Genomic DNA, 25,292 nt, shown 5'->3' on the forward strand with positions numbered 1-25,292 from the left:
CTGACTCTTAACCAGGGATGTCCAGGCAGCCCACATTTTATAAGAGGAGGCAATACTGGATGCTTCTGGTAATGGAATAATACATTTAGATTATCTAAAACTTCCTATTTATTTAGACTTGGCTAGCATTAAACTGTGAAAATTGTTATTTCATCTTTTATCAAAATACGCAATTATTTGTTTTTTAAAGTTCAGAAACAAGAAAAGTTATAACTCAATAAATTTTGTTTTAGGTTTAGAGTATTTGAGGCCCAAAGGAGAAAAAAAAATTTAAAAAAAGTGTTTGGTTGTTCCTAATGTTCCTCATGCACTTGCCTCCCAATTCATCTGTTGAAACCTAATCACCAATGTGATAGTATTAAGAGGTAGAGCCTTAGGGAGGCAATTTAGTAATGAGGGCAGAGCCCTCATGAATGGGATTAGTACCTTTAAAAAAGAGGCCCTAGAGAGCTTAGTTGCCCCTTTCGCCATGGAAGAACACAGTAAGAAAGAGCCAACCAGCCAAGGGGCCCTCACCAGACACTGAATCTACTGGCGTCTTGATCTTGGACTTCCCAATCTCCATAACTATGAGAGATGAATTTGTTGTTTATAAAACCAAGTTTATGGTATTTTGTTATAGCAGCCGGAATGAAGACAAAAGAAGATAAAAATGATCCAGATGAAGGAGGTTTAGAGGGTTTATTTGGAAATGCTCCATAGAAGACAAAAATTTTGAGTAGGGTTTTAAAAGACAAGAATTACTTAAAAATATTTTTGAAAGTGTACAGTGAGTTCAAAAAAGCAGAGAAAAGAGTAGTTGTGGAATGTTCGAACCAGTTTTCCCTAGACCAGAAAAGGAGTCTAAAAGGTTTGACACAGAGTTCCACCATGCCTTAGCCCCATACCACAGATGTTCAAGTAGAAGAGGTGTCGAAGGGTTTATAAGAGATGTGGAGCTGGGGTTTGGGCCAGGAGATTCTTTTTCTTTTTCTTTTTTCTTGAAGAAAGTATTGGTTAAAAGTAGGGTGAAAAGTACTTCTCCAGTGTATGCTGGTATAATTAGTGTCCATGAATATCTGCAGCACTTTACAAACATGCAGCATAGTAGCTCTCAGTCATGCTGCGCAAGATACAAAGGCAAAATCCCAAATACGTGTGCCATGGTTTTGTTTTTAACTTGGAAAAATGGTCTCACCAAAACAGTTTTATAAGCCATTATTAGTTCCCAGTTTAGCACAAAAAAATCAACTTCTATAAGGGAACAACAAAAAAGGGTAAACAATAATACAAAAGAAAACAAATGTATTTCAACTGCCCTTCCCATTTAATACTCAACTCATAGTAATATAGTTTCTACCCATACTGTGCCATAAAAACGTATCAAAATTTCTTCCTGGCTTTCTACCTTATCAAATTTCTTCCTGGCTGCCAAATCCATTGTATCCTATTTATTCTTGATATCCAAGCTCATCACTCTTTTGCCTTTTTACATATTGACAATTTTCAAGGTATACCTCCAGGCCAGAACATATATCCTTTTAGGCAATTCCATTTGGTTCCAAAGATAGATCTTTCTCTTTATATCCCAGAGTCAACTGCTGATCTTCACATTTTGATCTGCTCTTCCCATTTGCTCTATCTCAAAGAAGAACAGCACCCAGTTCCCTAATGCAGGATGCAGTTATTATACCGACTCCTCCCTCTGCATTTCTACGATGAAGACTTCTGAGCACACATCCCAACAAACTCCATCATTTTTCCTTCACTCTCATGTTTACTTAAGTTTACTCACCATTTGTTCCTTGGATTTCCAAGAGAATTGGTTGGCCTCTATTTCTTCCATAAACAATCTATACTCCCACCAAATTAAACTTTCTAAAATGTCAATCAAATGCCACTCCTTTGATTAAAAAAACCCTTAAAACCTGACCTTTATTCTCAATATAGAGACCATCTTCCTGGGGATTCAAGCAAGCCCTCATGCTCTAGACCCTGCTTCCCTCCAGCTGCACCTCCAATGGCTCCCCGTGATCCAGCAATTTGCTGTTCCCCAAATGTGCCAAGTTCTCTTGCTTTATATTCCTTCCACATTAAATGTCACTATTCCTTTCTTTGCCTGACTTCTTAGCAGTCTTGAGTTCAGATATCATCTCCATATCACATATGGAGTCTTGATATCATTTCTTAGAAACTATTCAAGTCTCCAAAACTGATTCTCCATCACTCATGGCTGAAAGGAAAGGCCAATGTTCACGTAAGTTTTCAAACAGTTTCCATGAAGATTGAATTCGGTATTTCCTCCTATACTGCTTTGGAATCACTGAGGGATCACCTTAAGTTTTTGCTGATGGATATCTTCCTATAAATCTTTCTCAGTGAAAGGCTTCTTTAAGGTCAAAGAGCCTGCATGCTGCATGGGTGAGTGGCAGGTATTAGGGTTGGGGACCACCGGCCCTGTGTCCCGTCTGGGTAAGATGCTTTATTCCTGCCATCCCCCTTGCTCCCAGTGTTTTCTCATACATATTTCTGAATTTTAATATTTATTCTGTCTCTTGTACTAAACTGTGAGCAGCAGAATAAAGGCAGTGCCTTTTATTTCTGTACTCTGAATGCCTACCACAGTGTCTAACACATCATAGGTATTTACTGAATGTTTGTTTTTGAAGTATCCTACTCTGTGAATCAACAAAACAGACAACAATAGCTACAAGGTAAAGACAAGTGTGTAGTTTAACTTCTTAAATGAAAATTAGTTTAATTAAACATGGATAAAACCATAGAGGAAAATTTTCTATGGAGATTTAAAGGGAACACTAGGGCACTTAAAAAATGAGAACTGTATAGCTCTGGAATTTTATTGTCTTATTTCATACTAAAATACAAGGTTTTCCTGCTTATATGTATGAGATTAACACATACTACAACAGGATAGGTTTTTGTGTTATTTTTTTAAATGTCATGTAGAGGAGGAGGAAACAACACAAAAGAAAGGGGAAAGAGAAGAAGGAGAGAATGAGTATTGAAAATTGTTCCCTAGAAAGCCGGGCAACAATTGAAGAGAGGGAAAAGAAGAGGAGGCTTAGCGAAGATGTGTCTGTGTGTATTCCATGTGAAGAAGAACCTGCTGCATGGCATGGCAGAGCAAACAAGCCAAAGAAAGGACAGAGCTAGGCAAGGACACAATTTGAAGGTAAAGAGTATTTCGGCCAGGCGTTGAACCCTGAGTGGCAAAACTTTCCCAGGGCAACAAGCTGAGGTGGGTGTAGGCCAGGTAGGAACAGGTATTCACAATGCGCCTTTTGGAAGGCGGAGGGAGGTTGGGAAGGTCAGTGTAACAGGGCATTTCTGGTATGAAATGCCTAGTGGTCCTTTTTCAGACTATTACTGCATCAGATCTTTTTCAATTTCAGTATCAATCACCTACCAAAGAAACACTGCATATAACCTTGGGCAGATCACATAAATGTCTCTGAAATTGCTCATCTATAAAACGATCTCTAAAGCTTTACACTATTCACACTATTTAATAGTTTATTATATTTAATAATACATATTTAATAGTTCTGTGATACTATGTAGTTTATACTAGGAATTCTAAAAGGCCAAGCAACAATAAAAATTACATGAAAGATACAGAGGAAGAATAAAATAATAATGATTATTCCAAAGAAGGGAATTAAAACGGGTAATAAATAGTGTGGGAAGATTTCAGTGTTGTCTAGAATTGAGAACTCTCTGTCGCCTACTCAAAATCACACTGAGAATCACTTCTTTGATGTTATCACTGATGAGGTTGTGCTGGACATGTGCACACAAGGGTAGACCGACCCAAACGCCCAGTTCTCAGCAGAAACCATCAGGCATAGCAAATTTATATCATGAATATTCAGCTTCTATCAAACTCCCAGCATATTTTATCATATTCATTACCAGCATTACAAATGTATAATGTAAATAATGTTAGGACATTATATAGTAAATAATTGATCTGGTGAAAGAGAAAAAAAAAACAAGCAGCAGTAAAGCATGACTAAAATGATGAGGAAGAAATATTTACAACATATTTGCAAGTTTGCTCAAGTGAGATAAAAACTGACAGAAGTCTTCTCTGTGCCACCTTCTCCTATATCAGATACTGGAATCCTGAGCGGGAATCACCGAGCAAGGTTTAGGATAATGTAAAAGCCATGCCTTATTAACTCTTGGACATCTCATTTCTTGGTTATAAATCCTATTAACTTGTATTACAAACTGCCATAAAACTTGGAGATAAAAGATAATTTATGCTCAGTGTACAGAAGCTAATGTTTCTGTACTCCTGAGAAGCACAGGACCAGAAAATGAGAAAGAATGTATGTGAAACCTAGAGCCACCCGCACTCCACACAGGCAGCATGATAAACATGGCTCTGAGCACCTGACTCTTCAGCAGGAAGATGGCCTAACTAGTTACTGACATCAGCGATGTTTCATATCTGAAATGTCTGTCATCTATTTCATAGCATCCCCTCCTCATAAAAGGTGATGATGTCTTATCAAGAACACATTTTTGGAAGTAAAAGAAGGATGTTTATTTAAAGGAAGGGACTATTATGCATCCTATTTTGAATTTTCTATTTTTCGAATGGCAAATTGAACATTCCTACAAAGTAAATGCTACCTACCAAGGTTTTCACTCATAATTACATTTTGACCCATAGTAAGTGAAATATGCCAAAAATACAATATGAAAAACCTTACATGCTAAAAAAAACAACCAGCTAAAAAAATTCCAAACACCTTCCCATATTCATTTTAACTGGAACTACCTCATTGTATCCTTGTTTTAAAATTCAATTTATAACTAATAAAAATACACCACAGAGAGGGGACTGAAAAGAGAACACAGACTTTAGACTGAAACAACTATACACTTTAAGTGAATTGCTACTATGACATATAGGTCAGTCCGAAATGACTAAAATAATCTTAATGAATGGAAGATAATTACTTATTTACACAACCTAGTCTCATGAGAGTCTCATATGTAAACACTCCAAAAGAAACACAGAACATCACAGAAAGACTAAGATGATATGAGGATAGGCTTTTTTAAAAAGATCAAGAAAAGTGCATTCTGGTTCCAGGGACTAGGACTATTCTAGCCAATTAAAATTAGTGTAGCAGATATAACACAAGCTCTCTTACCAAGTTACTAGACTAAAAAAATGATCAGATAAACAGTTGCTGTAAGATGACTTATTCCTCCTACTATTATCTTTAATTTCAGATCATCTAATTGAAAAAAAATTCTGGAACACTCTAGGCTCAAATCTAACACTCGTAATAATTAACATTTATATTGAATTTTTACCACTTTTAACATACTTTAGCAAAGCTTAATGGTAAATCACTTAGTCTGCTTAAATGATGAAAGATTATTATTAGATGTAAATTTTATTATAAAACTTCAGAAAGTCATTTTTCCTTAAGGATACAGCAACAAGATGAGGTAGATCCTTAAAGTGCATCCAAGATTTATTTTACTTGAAAATAATATCATAGTGGAAAAAACATATATGTACACATATACACACACACATATATTTATACATACACATGCATACACCAACTGGCCATCAGTTACACACTGCTTATGGACAATTACCAGCCTATGGGCTGTGACTTGTTTCAAGAGTTTATTATTTGCATCTTAGTCCATTAACCCCATGAAGGAGGAAATGTAATGTTGTGGAAAAAGTGTTGAGACAAAACACTTCACTGTGTGACCATATTATCCTGCTTTTCTCCCAGTATTGTTATAAGGCTCAGATGAGATGCTTCTTGTAAAAGTATCAGTATTATCTTCCTCCTCAACAACTATATGTTAACTTTAATTTAAAAAAATTTAAAAATTTAGAGTTTTGAAGTCATTCTTTATTTGGCGCTAAAGCACACGAGACATTTTCTTAAGCCTACTTTTGCAATATTTTTAAATGATTTCAGTTTAAATTTATAACATTTCTCCTGCCCATCCGGACTGTGACTGTATGTTCTAAAAATAATGAACAGTCTGCTGTAGATGTCCATTCTGAATACCTTCCCCAAAGTATGCACACCATGTAATGTATAGGCACATTTAGTGCATGTATCACATATATTAATGATGCAGTTATATGAAGTAACACCTGACAGAGCCATTTCAGCCCCAGTGGTGCAAGTCTCATTTCTAGGATGTAGAATGCTTCTGTGCAGTAATTTTATAGTAGTTTTTTTTTTGTTTTTTGAGACGACGTTTTGCTCTTGTTGCCCAGGTTAGAGCACAGTGGCGCAATCTCAGCTCACTGCAACCTCCACCTCCCATGTTCAAGCAATTCTCCTGTTTCAGCCTTCCAAGTAGCTGGGATTACAGGCATGCACCACCACGCCTGGCTAATTTTGTATTTTTAGTAGAGACAGGGTTTCACTATGTTGGTCAGGCTGGTCTCAAACTCCTGACCTCAGGTGACAGGCCCGTGTCGGCCTCCCAAAGTGCTGGGATTATAGGCATGAGCCACCACACCCGGTCTCTAGTAGTTTTTAACTGATTTTTAGTATTAATCCCATTCACGGGTATACAATTAAAACTTGTTACCAATATGGTGGATCACATGAGATCCATCCATACCTTAAACCCCCAAACATATTCACTTCAACATATGCATTTGTGTTACTAATTTTCTTGCTATTCCCTTACTAAAAGTGATAGAAAAGCAGAGAGCCAGGCTGTGTCTCGATAAAGAACTCCCTAGAACAGAGTGGCCAAGACGAGCAAAGGCTGCACTGCTAACCCCACAGGTGGAAGCCTGTGCCTGCCATTGTCACTCCCTTAAAGAACAGAGAGTGTAATTTTGCATGTTCTTTTTGCACCACACTATGTAATAATTACTTCATTAGGATAAGGTAATTTTGTAGTTATTCCAATGACACAAAATCAAAATTATCACAGAGAGAATCTACATTGCATTATATTTGGGGATTTGGCTATGCAGGTACCCTTAACATGTTTACCACTTTAGAGAACTGGGGATTCCACCTTAATAACTAACTAAAGCCTAACACATTGTATGTTACATTCCTATAAGTTATGTAGGGTCATGATTCCAGAATTTCTTTCAAGATATCCATGTCTGGCAGTTTGAGAAAGAATTGCTTTGTAAGTCAGTGTTTCCTCTTCCTGGGCCCACAAGCTTCATTTCCTAGACTGCCTTTGCAGTTGGGCTGGGGCGGCAGAACTTCATTCCTGCAGAAGGTGACACAGGTTATAGGCAGGCCTGGCCTGTAAAAAACATGGTGCCACATTCTAGTAATCAGTTTCCCTGCTTCAGCAATGTGTTCCAGTTAGCTTAGATATAAAATGTGGGATGCCTCTCAAGCCACATCAGATATTCTATTAATAAGAAAAAAAAACTTAATAAACCTAATCTTGGAAAGCCTCTCAGATCTGGAGTTGATCATCACTGCAACATAGACGGAGGGGGGGGTGGGAAGTAACTGAGGTACAGAGGCAATATGATAGATTAGTGCCCTGGCCAACTGAAAACAATACAAATACTAAAAAAAAAAAATTAAGAGAATCTTCTAAAATGCATCAAATGTATCTTTAAAAAAAAAAGAATTCTAGGAGGCAGAGGCTGCAGTAAGCCTAGATCACGCCACTGCACTCCAGCCTGGGCAACAGAGGGAGACTCTGTCTCCAAAAAAAAAAAAAAAAAAAAGAAAGAAAAGGAAAGAAATAAGAATTTTGCCCAGAAGCCAAAAACTACATTTTGATATAAAAAGAAGGCCAAGGCTAACTTTCATCTGGAGAGTGTTTAGCAAATCAGATGAACCTGAGCTTCAGTTTCTAAAGCCCCCAACTAGGGAAGGTTGTCAGAAGACAAAGCCCAAGGCCTGCCCAAGGTTGACGTCTAAAAGGATGCTGTACCACGTAAAGCAGAGATCCAAAATATCAAGATGAATATGAACAACACTCCCACTGGTCTGCTAGGAAAAGTGGCCAACCAAACTTTGGCACTCCATAACTGAGAAGATGAGAAAAGTCTCCCCTGAGCATTTGTAACCAGACATCAGATTCTCAGCAGTGTTACATTCAGAGTCTACACTGACAACGTGGTCCAAAATAGTCTCAGACAAAATGTCCTAAGTACTTAGTGCTCCCACAGAACTGGGCTACAAGTCCACTCAGCAGCCAGGCAAAAGCAAATGTAAATTCTCCTTGGATTTACTTTTAACCCACACCTCAAATAATTCCCACACTTAAAGTTCTCAGAAATGTGAGGTCCTGCCAAAAATCATAAAACAGAGAAGGAATTGAGGTCACGAAATGTGAAAGCAAAAGTGAACACAAAAGGCAGCTGGCTTACATTAGAATTATTCTAGACTATAAAACCAGTTTGATAATTATGTTTTAAGAAAGAGCCCCTTGAAAATGTGAGTAAAGGGCAAGCGTGTAAGAAAGAATAATCATGGCAGGAATTAAAAACGCAGAGGGTGGGTCTAGCGGCAGATAGGTAGAGCTGAAGCGGGACAGTGAACAGAACACAGAGGTGGTGAAGAACTTCAGAATGAAGCCCAGAGAGATTAAGACATAGAAAATATGAAAGTGCTGAGATATATATGATACAAGTAGAGGATCTTAAATACATTTAATTGGAGGTACAGAAGAAAAGAGAAAAAGAATAGGGCAATATTTGAAAACATAATGATTGAGAGTTTTCCAGAAATGATGACAGACAACAATCTATAGATGGAAGAAAATCCAATGAATCCCAAGCCAAATGCATTTCAGAAAGCTCATAATTATACCAATTATAGGGAAAACACAGAAACCCAAAACAGTAAAAATACCTTAATGTAGAATTCATATTTTAGATGTGGCTTTTTCTATCAGTGAATCTGCCAATTATAATTTTAAAAAGTATTGTACTGCATCTTTAACTAGTAATATATTGACCAGAGCATCTATACAGAGACAAGTTATGACTGAATACTTTAGCAGTCATACCATCAATTCAGTGCAATAGAACAAAGCTCATTGCTTCACAATAGTAGTAAGTTTCAAACTTCAGAAGCTGTTGGGAGTCTATGGGTATTTAACAAACATATAAATTGATAAGAAATCTAAAAAGCATATCTGTACTGCTAACCAAAATCTTTTAATGACTTTCCAAAACCTATGGCAAAAAGAAGTTCACATTCCATTGTGTGGAATTTAAAGCTCTTCACAATCAGTATCCCAATTAGTTTTGTATCTTATCTTCTGGCATTCTTCCATACCACAGCCCATATTGTAGCTGCACAGCCCATATTTTAGCTGCACAGAATTACCTGCAAATCCTATAACACATCCTGCATCTCCATGTTTCTTCCCTGGCTCTTCTTGCATTAAATAACTTTCCCATCATCTTCCACAGCAAGAATCTACTCATCCTTGAAGATTCTGTTGAATTGTAAGCTTAGTAGAAGGTACATTGCATGAAAGGATTTCTGTTTGTATTGTTAACTGCTCTATCCCTAGAAAGGAGCCTGGCAAATAGCAGGTACTCAGTAAACGTTTGTTGAATTAATTGAGTGAATACAATGTGAGTGCCTCTGTGAAGACTTTTCTTACTACACACATGCTCCAGTTTTCTATTATTTCATTTTTTGGTACTAATCTTTCAACATTGCATTGTGATTACATTTGTATAAATGGATCTTTCATTGCACTTAATCTGGAGAGCAAAGATCACATGCAACTATTTATTTTTATCCTTAATTGCTAGGCAGTGCAACAAATACGTAGAAGGCAGTCTGTAACGGTTGACAAAATACATGGATAGTATAGTTTGAAATCTGAATTCTTCTTCTCCCCTTCCATATTTATCCAGAAAGCAACATGGCTAGGACACGCAAAGATCCAGGAAAAAAATGCAAAACTGGCTAAAGAATAGTGAGCATGCACTAAACCCACCCTATTAACCAAACTACAATTTCTAGTAATGCCAGGCTACAGATGGTGGGTAGCAACAGGGTAGCAGCAAAATATAAGTAGTAGACCACAATGAGAGGCAAAAATGGAAAGTACTGTCCACTATCTTTTAAAAAAAAGGTTACCAAATGATATTTTAAAACTGAAATCCACCAATAAACCTCATAAAATTTGTTTGTTTAGTAAGAATTCTGTTCTATGCACTACATTGAGAGAAAATGTCGTTAATGTTTATCACTGGAAATGAAAGACATCATTAGAAATTATTCTGAGACAGAGAAACTAATCACCAGGCAACTTATGAATAGTAAAAGCTAAAGACTGTCTTCTAAGTGCCTAACGAAATCAAACCCAGTTTCCAGTTATATCCAATGATAATGACAACACTCAAAATACGTAAGAATTACATTAGCAACATTTGCCAAACCTTGTGTTTCCCCTATTGAGGTTTTTCTCAAATGTCATTCACATTCAGCTGTTCAAAACGCAAAAGTGCTCAATTTAATTCTTAGTCAATTTAGAGTTACAACACTTTCTCTTGTTTTTTAGACACAATAAAATGAAAACTTTCAGGATTCTCCTTCACATTTTTGCTGGTCAGTGACCTGGGGCAAAACTAAAGTGGCCACAAGAAAGCGCACATGTTCAATTCCACTCACAGTTCGAAGACCCAAGCAGGGCCAATGTTTTCTTCTAGTCTACTCAAGTGGTAGAAGCTTTGTGAAGGAAAGGGCTCACATTATATTCACTTTTGACTCACTGGTTGGAGCAGGTAGATCAGCGATTCCTCTTGGATTATTATAATTGGAAAAGGAGTGATGTGAGTCGCTTGGAACAAGGTATTCACAGATGCCATAATCTGGTCAAAACGCCCAGCAAGGCCTCCCAGTGTCACGATCACATCAACCTAAGCAAGGAAGGTAAAACTGGGAGTCACATAGAGTCACATACAAAAAATAAGTAAAAATACAGAATATTGGTGTTTAAGTTTTAAAATAATACATTAAAAAGGCTTAATGTGTGATCCATAAAGATGGCATGACTTTAGAATAATAACCTGTTAACCAAGCACCAACAGAACCTATTCAATTCCTAGAGAAATAGGTGGTATCAGGTCATGAAGCCAAATGTTGTGTTTCTCTGGTTCAATGGTTATACCAGTGATTTTGCAAAGTGCTTTACATACAAGAAGTTCAAGAGTTTGACGAATGAATAAATGAAGACATTGCAAGAAAAGACTCATTAGCCTAAAGAAGAAATAGATTAATTGCCATACTGTGGGAATGTATACTTCAAAATGGGGTTCCATAACAGCACTAAAAGTAAATTATAGAGAAGAACCAAGTTCTGAAATGAGTTTCCTATCTGTGACCTTATCAGAATGTAAGAAGAATGGGAATTTTTACTAAGGGTAACATGCTTCACATTAAGCTTAAAATATTTTAAGACAGGCAAACCAATAGCTAAAAGATTATAACTGGATTGTTTGTAACACAAAGGATAAATGCTTCAGGGGCTGGATACCCCAGTTTCCATGATGTGATTATTACACACTGCATGCCTGTACTAAAATATCTGTATGTTCCCCAGAAATATATACATCTAGTATGTACCCAGGAACATCAAAAATTAAAAATCAAAGAAACCAGGCAGGCCGGGCACGGTGGCTCACGCCTGTAATCCCAGCACTTTGGGAGGCCGAGGTGGGCGGATCACGAGGTCAAGACATCGAGATCATCCTGGCCAACAAGATGAAACCCTGTCTCTACTAAAAATACAAAAATTAGCTGGGCCCACGTGGTGGTGCGCACCTGTAGTCCCAGCTACTGGGGAGGCTGAGGCAGGAGAATCACTTGAACCCAGGAGGCAGAGGTTGCGGTTAGCCGAGATTGCGCCACTGCACTCCAGCCTGGGCGACAGAGTGAGACTCCGTCTCACAAAAAAGAAAAAAAGAAACAGAAACCAGGCAAACCATACATCTAAAGGATCTATTATTCTCCTTGGACATCTTTTTAGAATTCGAAGAATTAGGTTTTGTGGCTCAGAAAGACCATGTACTCTAGGGAGTATGTATTACTCCAAATACACAGGCAATTTCCAGGACATCTGTTAATATTCAGAGGAAAGAGTTAACTTGTAAGCCATTAGACAAAGACTTATCAAAGGGATGGCTTCTGTTTGTGATATCAAGTTAGGTAACTGATTTCTATTTATGTTTAGGAGGCCTTATTAAAAGGGCCTCTACAGACCAGTTGGGAAAGGCCCAGAGATTATTTATGACTTCAGAAAAACTACAGCATTTGCTTTAAACTGAAGAGAAATACATAAATAAGAAATTGTATATAAAATATAGAGAAAGTTCTAAGGCTGCAGTAAAAAGCTCATGGCATATGCCTATCCACATAATCCTAAATTCATATCAGAAGCAAGGCCTGATAAAAGTTTATTCACTATACAGAATCCGAAATCCCCTTTCTAGGTTCTCAATTTTTCATTACTATACGCTAAGCCTTGAGGGATCCCATAACCTTTAAGACTGAAATTTAATCCCCATCTTCTACAATGGGATATCATGATGAACAGGCAATATCTGTAAATCAATCATTAAATTTTTCAGAAGAAAGTAGCAGCAAGATTACTTCTCATCACTACTCATTTTCCCTACAGGAAGTATTTAGCAAGATTGATTAAAAACACTAGAGGATCAATGCAAGCTGCAGGTGGGACAGAAAAGGAATTGGCTTTGGATCATTTTTGCAGTTCTTTAGTTCTGGCTGTAAGTAGGACATTTGAAATTCACAGAGATATCGGAAAGAGGACAGAGTGTTCAATCTAAAATAGACCATTTATAGACTGCAAGTGTGTCTTTTCTACATGAACCCAAACCCTGGTGCATTTATTTCTAACATCACCCAGTCATACTTGGTTATAAACATTGACATACTTGTGAATCTCTCCTTCTAGAGGAGGCCTATGAATCACAGCCGCTAGCACAGTGTTTGCAACAGAGTAGACAACAGGTATTTACTGAGCTTCCCTTGAGCATATAAATACTCAGGAAAAACTGAATAAATAACCAGAGAGGCAAGAAGCTAATTATTCAGCTGAGTTAACATCACCTAACTCCTACAAAATAGTACTTTCTTACTTGGAAATGATTCCAACAGGTAGTAGCTTTTGAAAAAAAGCAAACACATCATACTTATTAGCTCAGATATACATCTGATGCTTTTAAAAGCTTTAGTTACAAGCTAATGACAAGAAAAATTCAACCAGTGTTTGTTGATCATTTACCATGTGCTAGGAAATATCCTAAACACTTAGGATATATCGGCAAAAATACATAAGCCCCTGCCTTCATGGAGTTAATATTCAAATGAAGGATAATATACACTTGATAAAAAGGTTTTTTTAAATGAATATATAAGTTAGAATGTGAAAAAGGTGAAAAATATATAGATATTTAAAATATATAGATATTTAAAATATATAGATATGATCTATATATTTTAAAAAGTCAGCATGCTGAGTGTGTTGAGAATAAACTGTGGAAAGGCAAGAAGGAAAGTCAGGAGATATAAAGAGATCATTATAGTAATACAGATAAGAGATAAGTTTGCTACCCCTTATTACTCCATCAAACATGATTATTCATGGCATCTACACAGCAAAACTCAGTGGTCAATTCCCAGTCCTTTTATTACTTAATCCTTCAGCAATATCTGACAAGTGAAAAAAGGTAAGGATAGCTTAAGAGACTTATGGGACACCATCAAGTATAACAATTTAAACATTATTGGTGTACTAGAAGAACAAGAGAAAGAGAAAAGAACAGAAAATATATTTGAAGAAATAATGGCAGAAAACATCCCCAGCCTGGGGAAGGAAATAGAAAGCAAATACAAGAAGCCTACGATATATCAAATAAGATAAATCCAAAAAAGACCCACACCAAGACACATCACTGTCAAAATGTCAAAAGTTAGGGTGTTGAAAGCAGCAAGGAAAAAGTGAATTGTCACATGTAAAGGAATCTCCACAAAAGCATCAGTGTATTTCTCAGCAGAAATATTGCAGGCCAGAAGGGAGTTAAATGATACATTCAAAATCCAGAAGGGGGATGGGGGTTGTTCTGTCAACCAAGAATACTATTCCCAGCAATCTTGTCTTTTGAAAATGAAGAGGTAATAAACACTTACTCAGACAAACAAAAACTGAGAGAGCTTATCATCACTAGACTTGTCTTATGAGAAATGCCAAAGGGAGTTCTTCAAGCAGAAGAAGAGGATACTAATTAGTAACATTAAAATATATGGAAGTATAAAACTTTAAGTATAAAAGCAAGTATATTGTCAAATCCAATACACTCTAATAACGAAACAGTGCTGGGTAAACAATTATACCTCTAGTATAAAGGATAAAAGGCAAAATTACCAAAAACAAAACTACAGCTTTAATAATTTTTCAAGTGATTATATATTATAAAAAACATAAAACAAGACATTAAAAACATAAAATGTGGGAAGTAGAAGAGTAAATGTGTAGTATGCGTTATGTGATCAAAATTAAGCTGTTATCAATTTAAAATAGCCAGTTTTAAGTATAAGATGTTTTACGTAAGCCTCAGGGTAACCACAAAGCAAAATCCTATAAGAGATACACAAAAGATAAGAAGAAAAAATCTAAAGCATACTACTCCAGGGAGCCATCAAACCACAAAGGAAGAACACAAGAGGAAAAAAAGAACAGAAGATCTAAAAAACAATTGCTCTACAGAAAACAATGAACAAAATGGCACTAGTAAGTCTGCACTTATCAATAATTATTTAAATGTAAATGGATTAACTTTTCCAATCAAAAAGCATAGAGTGGTTGAATATATTGTTTTAAAGACTCAACATGGAATGCCTTTTTTATTCCTTCATTTTCAGTCTATGAGTGTCCTTTAAAGACTTACTTTACTTTAAAGGATACTCATAGGCTGAAGGTGAAGGAATAAAAAAGACATTCCATGAAAATGGAAGCAAAAAGAATGCAGGGGCAGCTGTACATAATACAAACAAAATAGACTTTAGGCAGAAAACAGTAAAAATAGACAAAGAAGATTCTTATATACTGACAAAGGGATCAATTCATCAAGAGGATATAACAATTGTAAATATATGTCCACCCAACATTAGAGCACCTAAATATATAAAGTAAACATTAAGAGATCTGAAAGGAGACAAAGACTTCAACACAATATTAGTAGAAGATTTCAATACCCCACTTTAAACATTAGAAACATTAGACAGGTCATCCAGACAGAAAATCAGTAAGAAAACACTGGACTTGAACTATACTTTAAAGTACCACAAATGAACCCAAAAGACATATACAGAACATTCTATCCAACAGCAACAGAAGACACACTCTTCTTAAGTGCACACGGAACATTCTCCAGAATAGATCATATGTTAGGTCATGGAACAAGTCTAACAAATTTAAGAAGATAAAAATCATATTAAGTACTTCAACATAGTCCTGAAAGTCTTAGCCAGAGCAATTAGGCAAGAGAAAGAAATAAAAAGCATCCAAACAGGAAAGGATGAAGTGAAATTGTATCTGTTTGTTGATGTCATGATCTTATTAATATACACAGAAAATCCTAAAGAAGCTACCAAAAAATGGTTTAAACTGATAAATTCAGTAAAGTTCTAGGGTGCAAAATAAAAAATCAGTAGTTTCTATATAGTAACAACGAACCGTCTGAAAAAGAAGTGAAGAAAACAATCCCATTAATAATAGGATCAAAACATGTTTAGGAGTATATTTAATCAAATTATAAGTGAAAGATCTGAATACTAAAAACTATAAAACATTAACAAAAAATTAAAGATGACACAAATAAAAGATATCCCATGTTCTTGAATTGGAAGAATTAATACTGTTAAAATATCCATATTACTCACAATGCTACAGATTCAATGTAATCCCTATAAAAATTCCAATGTAGTTCTTCACAGAAATAGAAAAAAACATTCCTAAAATTCATATGGAGTCATAAAAGACACCAAATAGACAAAGCAATAATCAATAAAAAGAATAAAGCTGGAGGTATCACACTACCAGATTTCAAAATATATTACAATGCTATAGTAATCAAAACAGCATGATACTGACATAAAAACAGATACATCAACCCATGCAATAGGATAGGGAGCTCCAAAATAAACCCACGTATCTATGGTCAATTGATTTGCAACAAAATTGTGAAGAACACACATTGGAGAAAGTGTAGTCTCTTCAATAAATGATGTTGGGAAAACTAGATATCTACATAAGAAAGAAAGAAATTGGAGGCCAGGCATGGTAGTTCATGCTTGTAATCCCAGAACTTACGGAGGCCAAAGCAAGAGGACTGCTTGAGGCCAGGAGTTCAAGACCAGCCTAGGTAACATAGCAAGATCCCATCTCTACCAAATAAATAAATAAATAAATAAATAAATAAATAAATAAATAAAAGATAAAAAGTAAAAAAAAATTAGCTTTGCATGGTGGCACGCATCTGTAGTCCTAGCTACTTGGAAAGCTAAGGCAGAAGGATCGCTTGAGTCTAGGAGTTGCTTGGGTCCTTACCTCACCCCTTATGAAAGAATCAACTCAAAATATATTAAGGATTTACACATACGAGCAGAAACCATAAAACATAAGAAGAAAACATGCAGAAAACGCTCTATGACCGACATTGTTTTGGGTAGAAACTTCTTAGATACTGACCCCAAAATCACAAGTTACAAGGGCTAAAATAGACAAATGGGATTGGTTCAAACTGAAAGGCATCTGCACAGCAATAGAAACAATTAATAAAGGAGGCACCCATGAGCTGGGAGAAAATACTTGCAAATCATACATCAGATAAGGGGCTACTTTTCAAAATATACAAGAAACTCAGACTACCCTGTAACAAGATAACAAATAACCCTTTTAAAATATAGGCAAAGGATTTGAAGACATTTCTCAAAAGAAAACATAGAAATGGCCAACAGATATGTGAAGAAATGCTCAACATGCTTTAAACATCAGATGAATGCAAATTAAAACCACAATGAATTATCACCTCACAACTTTTAGATTGGCTATTATCAAAGAGTTGAAAGATAAGTGTTGGTGAAGATGTGGGGAAAAGGGAAACCTTATACATACACTGTTGGTGGTTTTACAAATTAGTACAGCTATTTTTCAAAAAAATGTATGGAATTTCCTCTAAAAACTGAAAATAGAATCATGATATGATCCAGCAATCCCACTACTGGGACATACCCAGTGGAATGGAAATCGGTATGCTGATGAGATACCTGCATTCCTGCATTCATTGCAGCATTATTCACAATAGTCAAGATATGGAAATAACCCAAGTATCCACCTAATGGGTTAAAAACTGTGGTATACATAAATAATGGAATACAATTCAGCCTTTAAAAATAAACTAGGAAATTCTATCATTTGTGACATGAATGAACCTATATAAGCCAGAAACAAAGAAACAAATACTGTCTGATCTCATATGTGGAATCTATAAAAGTCAAACTCATAGAAGTAGAGAGTAAAATGATAATTATCAGAGCCTGGTGTTGTATGGGGGAAAAAAAGACATTGGTCAATGAGTACAAAGTTACAGTTAGAAGAAATAAGGTCTGGTGTTCTATTTCACAGCACAGTGATGACAGTTAATAATGTATTATATATTTCAAAAGAGCTAAAAGTGAGGATTTTCAATGTTCTCACCACAAAGAAATGATAAATACTTAAAGTGATGGATACTCAAATTATCCTGATTTGATCATTCCGCAATGTATATACATGTATCAAAACATCACTGTGTACCCCATAAACATATAGTCAATTAAAAGTTTAAAAAATATTCGTGCATACATACATAAAGCTACTCAGCACATACCTATTATGCCGTATTTTAAATATATAAAATGTAAAATATCAATTTCTGACTGCTTTCCATATATTTCCTAAAGTCAGGATATTTTACATGGACCTTTTTGTTTACAAGATGAGTGTGATGGGAATAAAGGTGGCCTGTGGTTTTCATATGCAATCCCATCTAGCGAAAAGGACCTTGAAACCCTGGATTAAAACATTGGAGGTCTAGCTATAGCACTGTATGCCACTTAAGTAGCCATGGAACCACATATATGTTACATGACCTCTTGGTGATCTAGGTCACTCATCTGTAAAGGAAGGGGATGCACTAAATTCATTATCATATTTTTCAAGATTCTTTTCACGTTTAAGTCCATATAAGGTTCTCTGTTTTCCACCATAAGTTAAATAGTCATAGTGTGTATTTTGTTTAGAAAATAAATGCAAAACTCAGCTTTGCATTATTTACCTTAATAGAATCATGACAAGACTGGTTGAGGGACATATAGCACCAAAAGAGAAGTAATTTCATTTTTCTATTATAGCAGTAAAAATCTTTTAGTAAATAAGTGACAAGTTTTACTCCATTTGTCCTCAAAAAGACTTAAGAGACAGTATGCATGAAGTCTACAGCAGGCACACTGGCTGTCAGCATGTTTTAATTACATTTACTTCCCATAAATTGAATTCTAGAAATGCATAAATGGATAATTTCTTTGTGGCTCTCCCTGATAGGGTGATCATACAATTTAATGTACAAACTGAGATACTTTTGAAAGTAAAAATGGGGCATTATAAATAAATTACACCAAGAATACAGGCATAAACTGGGACTATCCCATGTAAACCAAGGCACATGTTTACCCTACTGTCTGAGAGTTACAACTAACATTAGTATAGCAACTTAACAAAATTAAACACTAGGGTATAAAAAATTTAGATTATGCTTAATAAGCTTCCTTTAACTCTCAAAGATGTGTACTGCACTCTAGTGAGGCTTCAATAGAATAATGAAATTCTTGGTTTGTTTGATTCCATAATTTGAAGATGGAAGAGCCAATACAGCGTTTGGAGGAATGAGTGGGATCAAGATAGAGCAAGAACAAATAATCTGACCAAAAAAAAAAAAAGGCAATACTAAAACATGTTTTAGTAAGCCTATAAAATAATTCTACTGATTAATATGAAGCTCAATGAGAAACCAGAGAAAGTAAAGAACTCGTATTTTATAGTACCAAGGTATGTTATATGAACAAACACAGGATATATCTTGTTGCATCTTGTCAGGCTATGGAAGCACTACTACAGGGATCCTGTTTACATTTCAAGCAGGCTACATTATAATGTAAGGTCCAGTTTCATGTAAGCATGTTTGGGTGAGATAGAAATAATGCCTCTTGCAGTGGCAAAATTTTGAGGCTTCCATTCATAGATAAGAAAACCAAGGAAATTCTAGATTTATCTCAAATAATTCTTATTTCATCACTGTTGCCACAGCCTTAATTCAGAAATCATAATTCTCACATGGATAATTCCACTGGCATTCTTATCTACAATGTTGCCTCTATAACCAAGTAGTCTTTCAATTGGTTATGACAGTAAGTTTTCCAAATATTAAATCTGGCTTGCCAATGTTCTGCTTAAAATTAGGTATTGGTGCCGGGCATGGTGGCTCACGCCTGTAATCCCAGCACTTTAGGAGGCTGAGGTGGGCAGATCATGAGGTCAGGAGATCAAGACCATCCTGGCTAACATGGTGAAACCCCATCTCTACTAAAAATACAAAAACTTAGCTGGGCGTGGTGGCGGGCGCCTGTAGTCCCAGCTACTCGTGAGGCTGAGGCAGGAGAATGGTGTGAACCTGGGAGGTGGAGGTTGCAGTGAGACGAGATTGCACCACTGTACTCCAGCCTGGGCGACAGAGCAAGACTCCATCTCAAAAAAAAAAAAAAAAAAAAATTAGGTATTGGTTCTTCAGGCTCCACAAGATGAAGTCCATTTGCCTCCAGTCCTGTCTCATAAATCACATCTTCAACTCCCACCCCACATTTACATTCTAGAAATACAATCAGCCCTCTGTATCCATGGGTTCTGCATCCATTGGTTTCAACCAACTATGGATCAAAAATATACAGAAAAAAAACTGTGTCCGTACTGAACATGGGCAGATTTTTTTCCTTGTCATTATTCCTTAATCAATACAGTATAACAATTATTACATAGTATTGACATTGCATTAGGTATTATAAATAATCTAGAGATGACTTAAAGTATACAGAATGATGTACATAGGTTATATGCAAATACTATGCCATTTTGTATCAGGGACATGAGCATCCACAGATTTTGGTATGCACAGTAGGTCCTGGAACAAATCCCCCATAGATACCAAGGGACAACCATACTTTAATTCTCAGAACACGGCTGGGCGTGGTGGCTCACGCCTATAATTCCAGCACTCCTGGGAGGCCGAGGCAGGTAGATCACCTGAAGTCAGGAGTTTGAGACCAGCCTGACCAATATGATGAAACCTCGTCTCTACTAAAAACACAAAAATCAGCCGGAGATGGTGGCATGAGCCTGTTATCGCATGGTGGTGCACATCTGTAGTCCCAGCTACTTGGGAGGCTGAGGCAGGAGAATCGCTTGAACCCGGGAGGAGGAGGTTGCAGTGATCCAAGGTCGTGCCATTGCACTCCAGCCTGGGCAACGAGCAAAACTCCATTTCAAAAAAAAAAAAAAATCTCAGAAAACCTCACAAGATTTCCAACTTTAGTGCTTAAACTATCACCTGTCCGCTCCTTTCCTTGTAAAGCATTTAATTACTGTAAGTATTTCCAAAAGATGCCTACCTCCACCACCTAAAAAAGTGAACTTGATTGGATAGAGTGTTTTCATCCTACTTTTCTAAACTCTTAACATAGTGTTAATAAGAAATGTCATAAATGTGTTGTCTTAGCTCTGGCAGCTTTAACAAATTAGACTGAGTAGCTAAACAACATTTATTTTTCACAGGTCTGGAGGCTGGGAAGCCCAAGAGCAAGGTGTCAGCAGATGCAGTTCTGGTGAGGACCCTCTACCTGGTTTGCAGATGGCCATCTATTCATTGCATCCTCACATGGTCACGGCAGAGAGTAGAGAGAGAGAAACAAGCTCTTTTTTTTATAAGGGCTAATCCCATTCATGAAGTCTCCACCCTCCTGAACGAATTACCTTCCAAAGGCCCAACCTCCTAAATACAATCACACTGGGGGTAGGATTTCAACATATGAATTTTGGGAGACACGAACACTCAGTCTATAACACATGATTATAAAAAATCTTTTTTTCAACATGTTATTTTTTTAAAAAAGGTGTTTTTAAAAAAGGAGGAGGAACCACACATGAAGAGTCAGCAATGTACACAAGCTTCTTTGCATTTGAAAAACTACGGGAGCTGTGATGAAGATCTGTGCTAAGATATGCGTCTGCTATAAATCATAATTCCCCCGGTAAAAGTTTTAGCATAAAATCCCAGGCAGTCTATACTCTCATTAACTCTCTAGCACTGATGCCCCTGTACCTCTCTGGAGAGCTCAGCCAAGGGACTCCAACTTCCTTGCATAAGTGGAAGAAGAAAGTCTTGCTGGCAGAGGTCCCTGACACACTAAGATAGGAACCAGCAGGAGAAGAGTCCAGGAGAGAATGACCAATCCCAGTGAAGTTCTCTGCTAGCTTGTTAAAGGAAGCAAATGTAAATATTGCCTGAACCCAGGGTGTATGTGTGATTATTACATTCTCTCAGGACTGCCTATTCTTTGACATTCCAGAATTAAGGGGTTTACCTTTAACTTTGAATACTCAAAATAAACACTCCCCTTATTCTGGTTAGCCCTTACTATACCTTCAAGACTCAGCAGACTGACCACCTCCACTAGGAAGGAGTCTTTGAACACTCTAGGCTGGAAAACGTTTGCTTCAATGGGCTTCTCACCCACCCTATCAGACTTCTACTGTAGCACTACTGACAGTGTATCCAGATAATCTGATTACAAGTGCATCCACCCCCAAAGACAGGACAGTCTTAGAGTCAGAAACTGGGTCTCATTCAGTTTGCATTTCTCAATCTATAATACTTAGCAGAGTGCCTGGCACATGCAAAATAGATGTTTGTTTAGCTGAATAGTTATAGTTTTGAGCTTTCAATTTTGTCAGAAAAGATCAATCAGCACCAAGTATATACTTTAAGGCTAATTTCTGAGGTCTCTATTCCTTTCTCAAATTCTTGATGGAGAAAATGACTAAAGTATTGTTCTTCAAAGAACACTGTAATTGGTTCATTACTGTCATTAGATTTTCCATCCTTCAATGCAGCTTGCATACAACCATTACATTATTTTTCTAAATTGCCTTATGATTTTCTGTTCAAAATTTTTTAATAGCTTACCATTATCTATATAGATCAAGGTTCAAATTTCTTATCTAGAAATTAAAGATTCTTCATATGTTGACCCCAAACAACCTAAATCTGTGACTGCTGTGACATTTCTCCTCCTTTAGAGCACTCCCTAGCTACAATGGATGCAGTGCTTTTATCATAGGTGTGTTCTGTTTACCCTCAGATTGCTTCAAAGAATCTCTGAAAGCACTTTAATTTCAGGTACTCTGGTCATGACAATGTATAGGACAATGACAGAGAGTTCACTCCCTGAACAATGAAAACCTTTTCTGATTCACCCTAGGCAAGGATTTTGAATCTTTTAATTAAACATTTCAAGCCTGGTTGCCTTATGATTTTGTAATAATCGTGGTTGTAATAATAGTGCTTTCCTCACAAAGCTGTCTTGAATATTGATATTTCCTTGATTAACTGGACTATAGGTTTTCAAGCCAGATCAGTGAGATCCCTATAGATGGGACATTTTTTGCATATAAACAAAAACAATAACCTTATATCTAGAAAATGTAGAAATGTGTTATTTTTCTTCCCCATATAAATACACCATGGGACAGAAAGGGCAAATAAGCAGGTATTTACATTTCCCTATATCAGAAGTGAGTGATAAACGAGAGGTGAATGGAATAAAAAAACCGTTGTGGGAAGTTTCTTTTTTAACATAATTTTATTCAACTTATCTTTGCTGAAAATTAAATTCTTTGAGGAGAAGAGCAGGAATTATGAGTAAATAACAATACATAAAATTAGTGTCTGTATAAACAGCATAGATATTATAAAACCTACTAGAGGTAATTATGGTGTCCGAACCTCTCATATTCTCAGGATATGAAGATATTTTAGTGAATTCAAAGGCATTCCTTTTGAATTACGGGGGTTATGAGGAATGGAAAGATCCATTGTTTGTGGTTTAGAATGGTCATAATACCTAGTGTAGCATCTTTAACACACTAGGTGTTTAGTGTAAAATGAAAAATAAAAGTGTGACTTATATTCAGAAACAATTAGCTATTTGAAGACAGTCTTTTGAAAGGATATTACAATTTTATTTTATAAATGTTGCTTGGTACACAATTGAAAACATTCCAAAATTTATTGTTGAAGTCTTACTCAAAAAGTACCAAGTATTGTTTACTCTGGCTAAAAATTCTCTAACATACATAATGCCCCGCTAAAGTTGAATACCTGAAAGAACACGAACCAGTCACTCCTTCCCTTTCCATGGAAAATGGGTTATGATAGCTCAGAATCTGTATCCTCTTTCTTCAGTCACACCCACCAATGATCAAGTTGACAAAAGACAATTTTCCAAGCCACTTTGGAACTGATTGACTGTGATAAAGACATGCTCTGGTCCCAGGAGATTAGTATATCTGTACTTGTGATCATTTCTTAATAGCAACTATCCTCTCTTTCATTATCATGATTCGTTTTAATCTAAGAATATTTCTTGCTTGAATTCAGCCATGAAATAAGTCTTAGTCGCACAGTCTTATTGAAAGTGATACATGAAACACCTGGCTTCCATGTCTGCATAAATTAGATTTGGCTATTTGTACTATTTTTGGTGTATTATTTCCCCCAAAGTTTAGTGGTTTAAAACCCTCTCCACTTTTTATTGCCCAGTTATAACAGGTGGCCATCAGACTTGCTGTAGTGCAATCCTTAGATCTAGCAATCTGGTGTAACATACACAGTTTACATTAATTATCCCCTTTCCACCTTCTGGGAGAACACAGAGCATTTTGATTGCAAATTTTGTACTTTGCCATTAACATTCTGGTTTCTAGATATGCACTGGACCATTTCATAATGCCAAATGAGAATGTTAAACATATTACTGTAGTGACATTAATTAAAGTGTATTTCTTGCAATGCAGTTAAGTTTGCTTCACAATGCAGTAAGTTTGCTTCACAAGTTGAAGCAACCCCAAGGTTGACCTTAAAATGATAAGCAATGCTATTTGCTATTTTACTTAAACGTATTCCATATCCATGAGCATCAAAGTAAATCTGTAATCTGGGATAAAATATTTGTTCAAATAATAATTTCCTCTCTAAAATAATTCCCTTTATTTATATGAATGCTTTACAAAAAAATCAGAATCTTTAGGGTCAATCTGATACGCATCTAAATTCTCTAGTAGAAATAGATGAGGAAACAGAATTAAACTGCAATCAATATAACTTGATTTAGATATTCCTATTTCCTATATGTTTCAAGATACCCTGATCCGGTTGTTCATATTGAGAATTATATACATCGACATATATGTTCACAGGGGAAGGTACACAGCAGATTCAGGAAAGAAGCTAGAATCATCTTATTTCTACTCCATGCATCTGGATTTTCGTATGCCATTTTCTGTTTTGAAACGGCACGTTAACCATGGAGTGCTAAGTACAAATGGGAAAGCAGAGGGTCATGGACACAACAGAAACATCTTCTACTTCCAGCTACTAACAGAAGAGATGGATAGAAAGTGAATACTATAGGATTCCATCTTCTTCTTTAACTTACATGGAACTTTCTGAGATACCTAGGCTCATCACCTAACACAAAGCAAAAAATTACATGCATCTCTTTTCTTCATTACCTATTTAATCACCACTAAAAATATATCGATCTGACATATGTAGACCTGTAATGACCAGTAACATCATTACAGTTTTTCAGTCATGACTTAAACTATAAGCCAAACTTTTATTTTTGTTTGTTTGTTTTTGAGACAGGGTCTCACTCTGTTGCCCAGGCTGGAGTGCAGTGGTGCGAGAACGGCTAAACTGCAGCCTCGACCTCCAAGTCTCAAGCTATCCTCTCCCCTTGGCCTCCCAAGTAACTGAGACTAAAGGCATGCACGACTACACCCTGCTAATTTTTGCTTGTTTGTTTTTATAGACGAGGTCTCACTATGTTGCTCAGGATGGTCTCAAACTTCTGGGCTCAAGCAATCCTCTGCCTCAGCCT

The 25,292-nt window shown here is 36.3% G+C and overlaps 1 protein-coding gene across 44 annotated transcripts in view; it reads right to left on the minus strand.

The window, feature by feature from the left end:
- The window catches only part of TPK1 (thiamin pyrophosphokinase 1), a 384,497-nt gene that overhangs the window by 128,750 nt on the left and 230,455 nt on the right, over positions 1-25,292 (minus strand). For 36 of the 44 annotated variants that reach the window (NR_146936.2, XR_001744630.2, XM_005249970.2 and 33 more), the window contains one exon: positions 10,733-10,879. The exons of the other annotated variants lie outside the window; for them this stretch is intronic. Coding sequence is in view for 34 of the 36 variants with exons in the window: in XM_005249970.2 (XP_005250027.1) it covers positions 10,733-10,879 (147 nt within the window). In the remaining 2 variants the exon portion in view is untranslated. The remainder of the gene's footprint in view (positions 1-10,732; positions 10,880-25,292) is intronic. 44 annotated transcript variants of the gene reach the window in all.

This window comes from Homo sapiens, chromosome 7 (genome assembly GCF_000001405.40).
Source record: "Homo sapiens chromosome 7, GRCh38.p14 Primary Assembly".
Taxonomy (NCBI): Eukaryota; Metazoa; Chordata; class Mammalia; order Primates; family Hominidae; genus Homo; species Homo sapiens.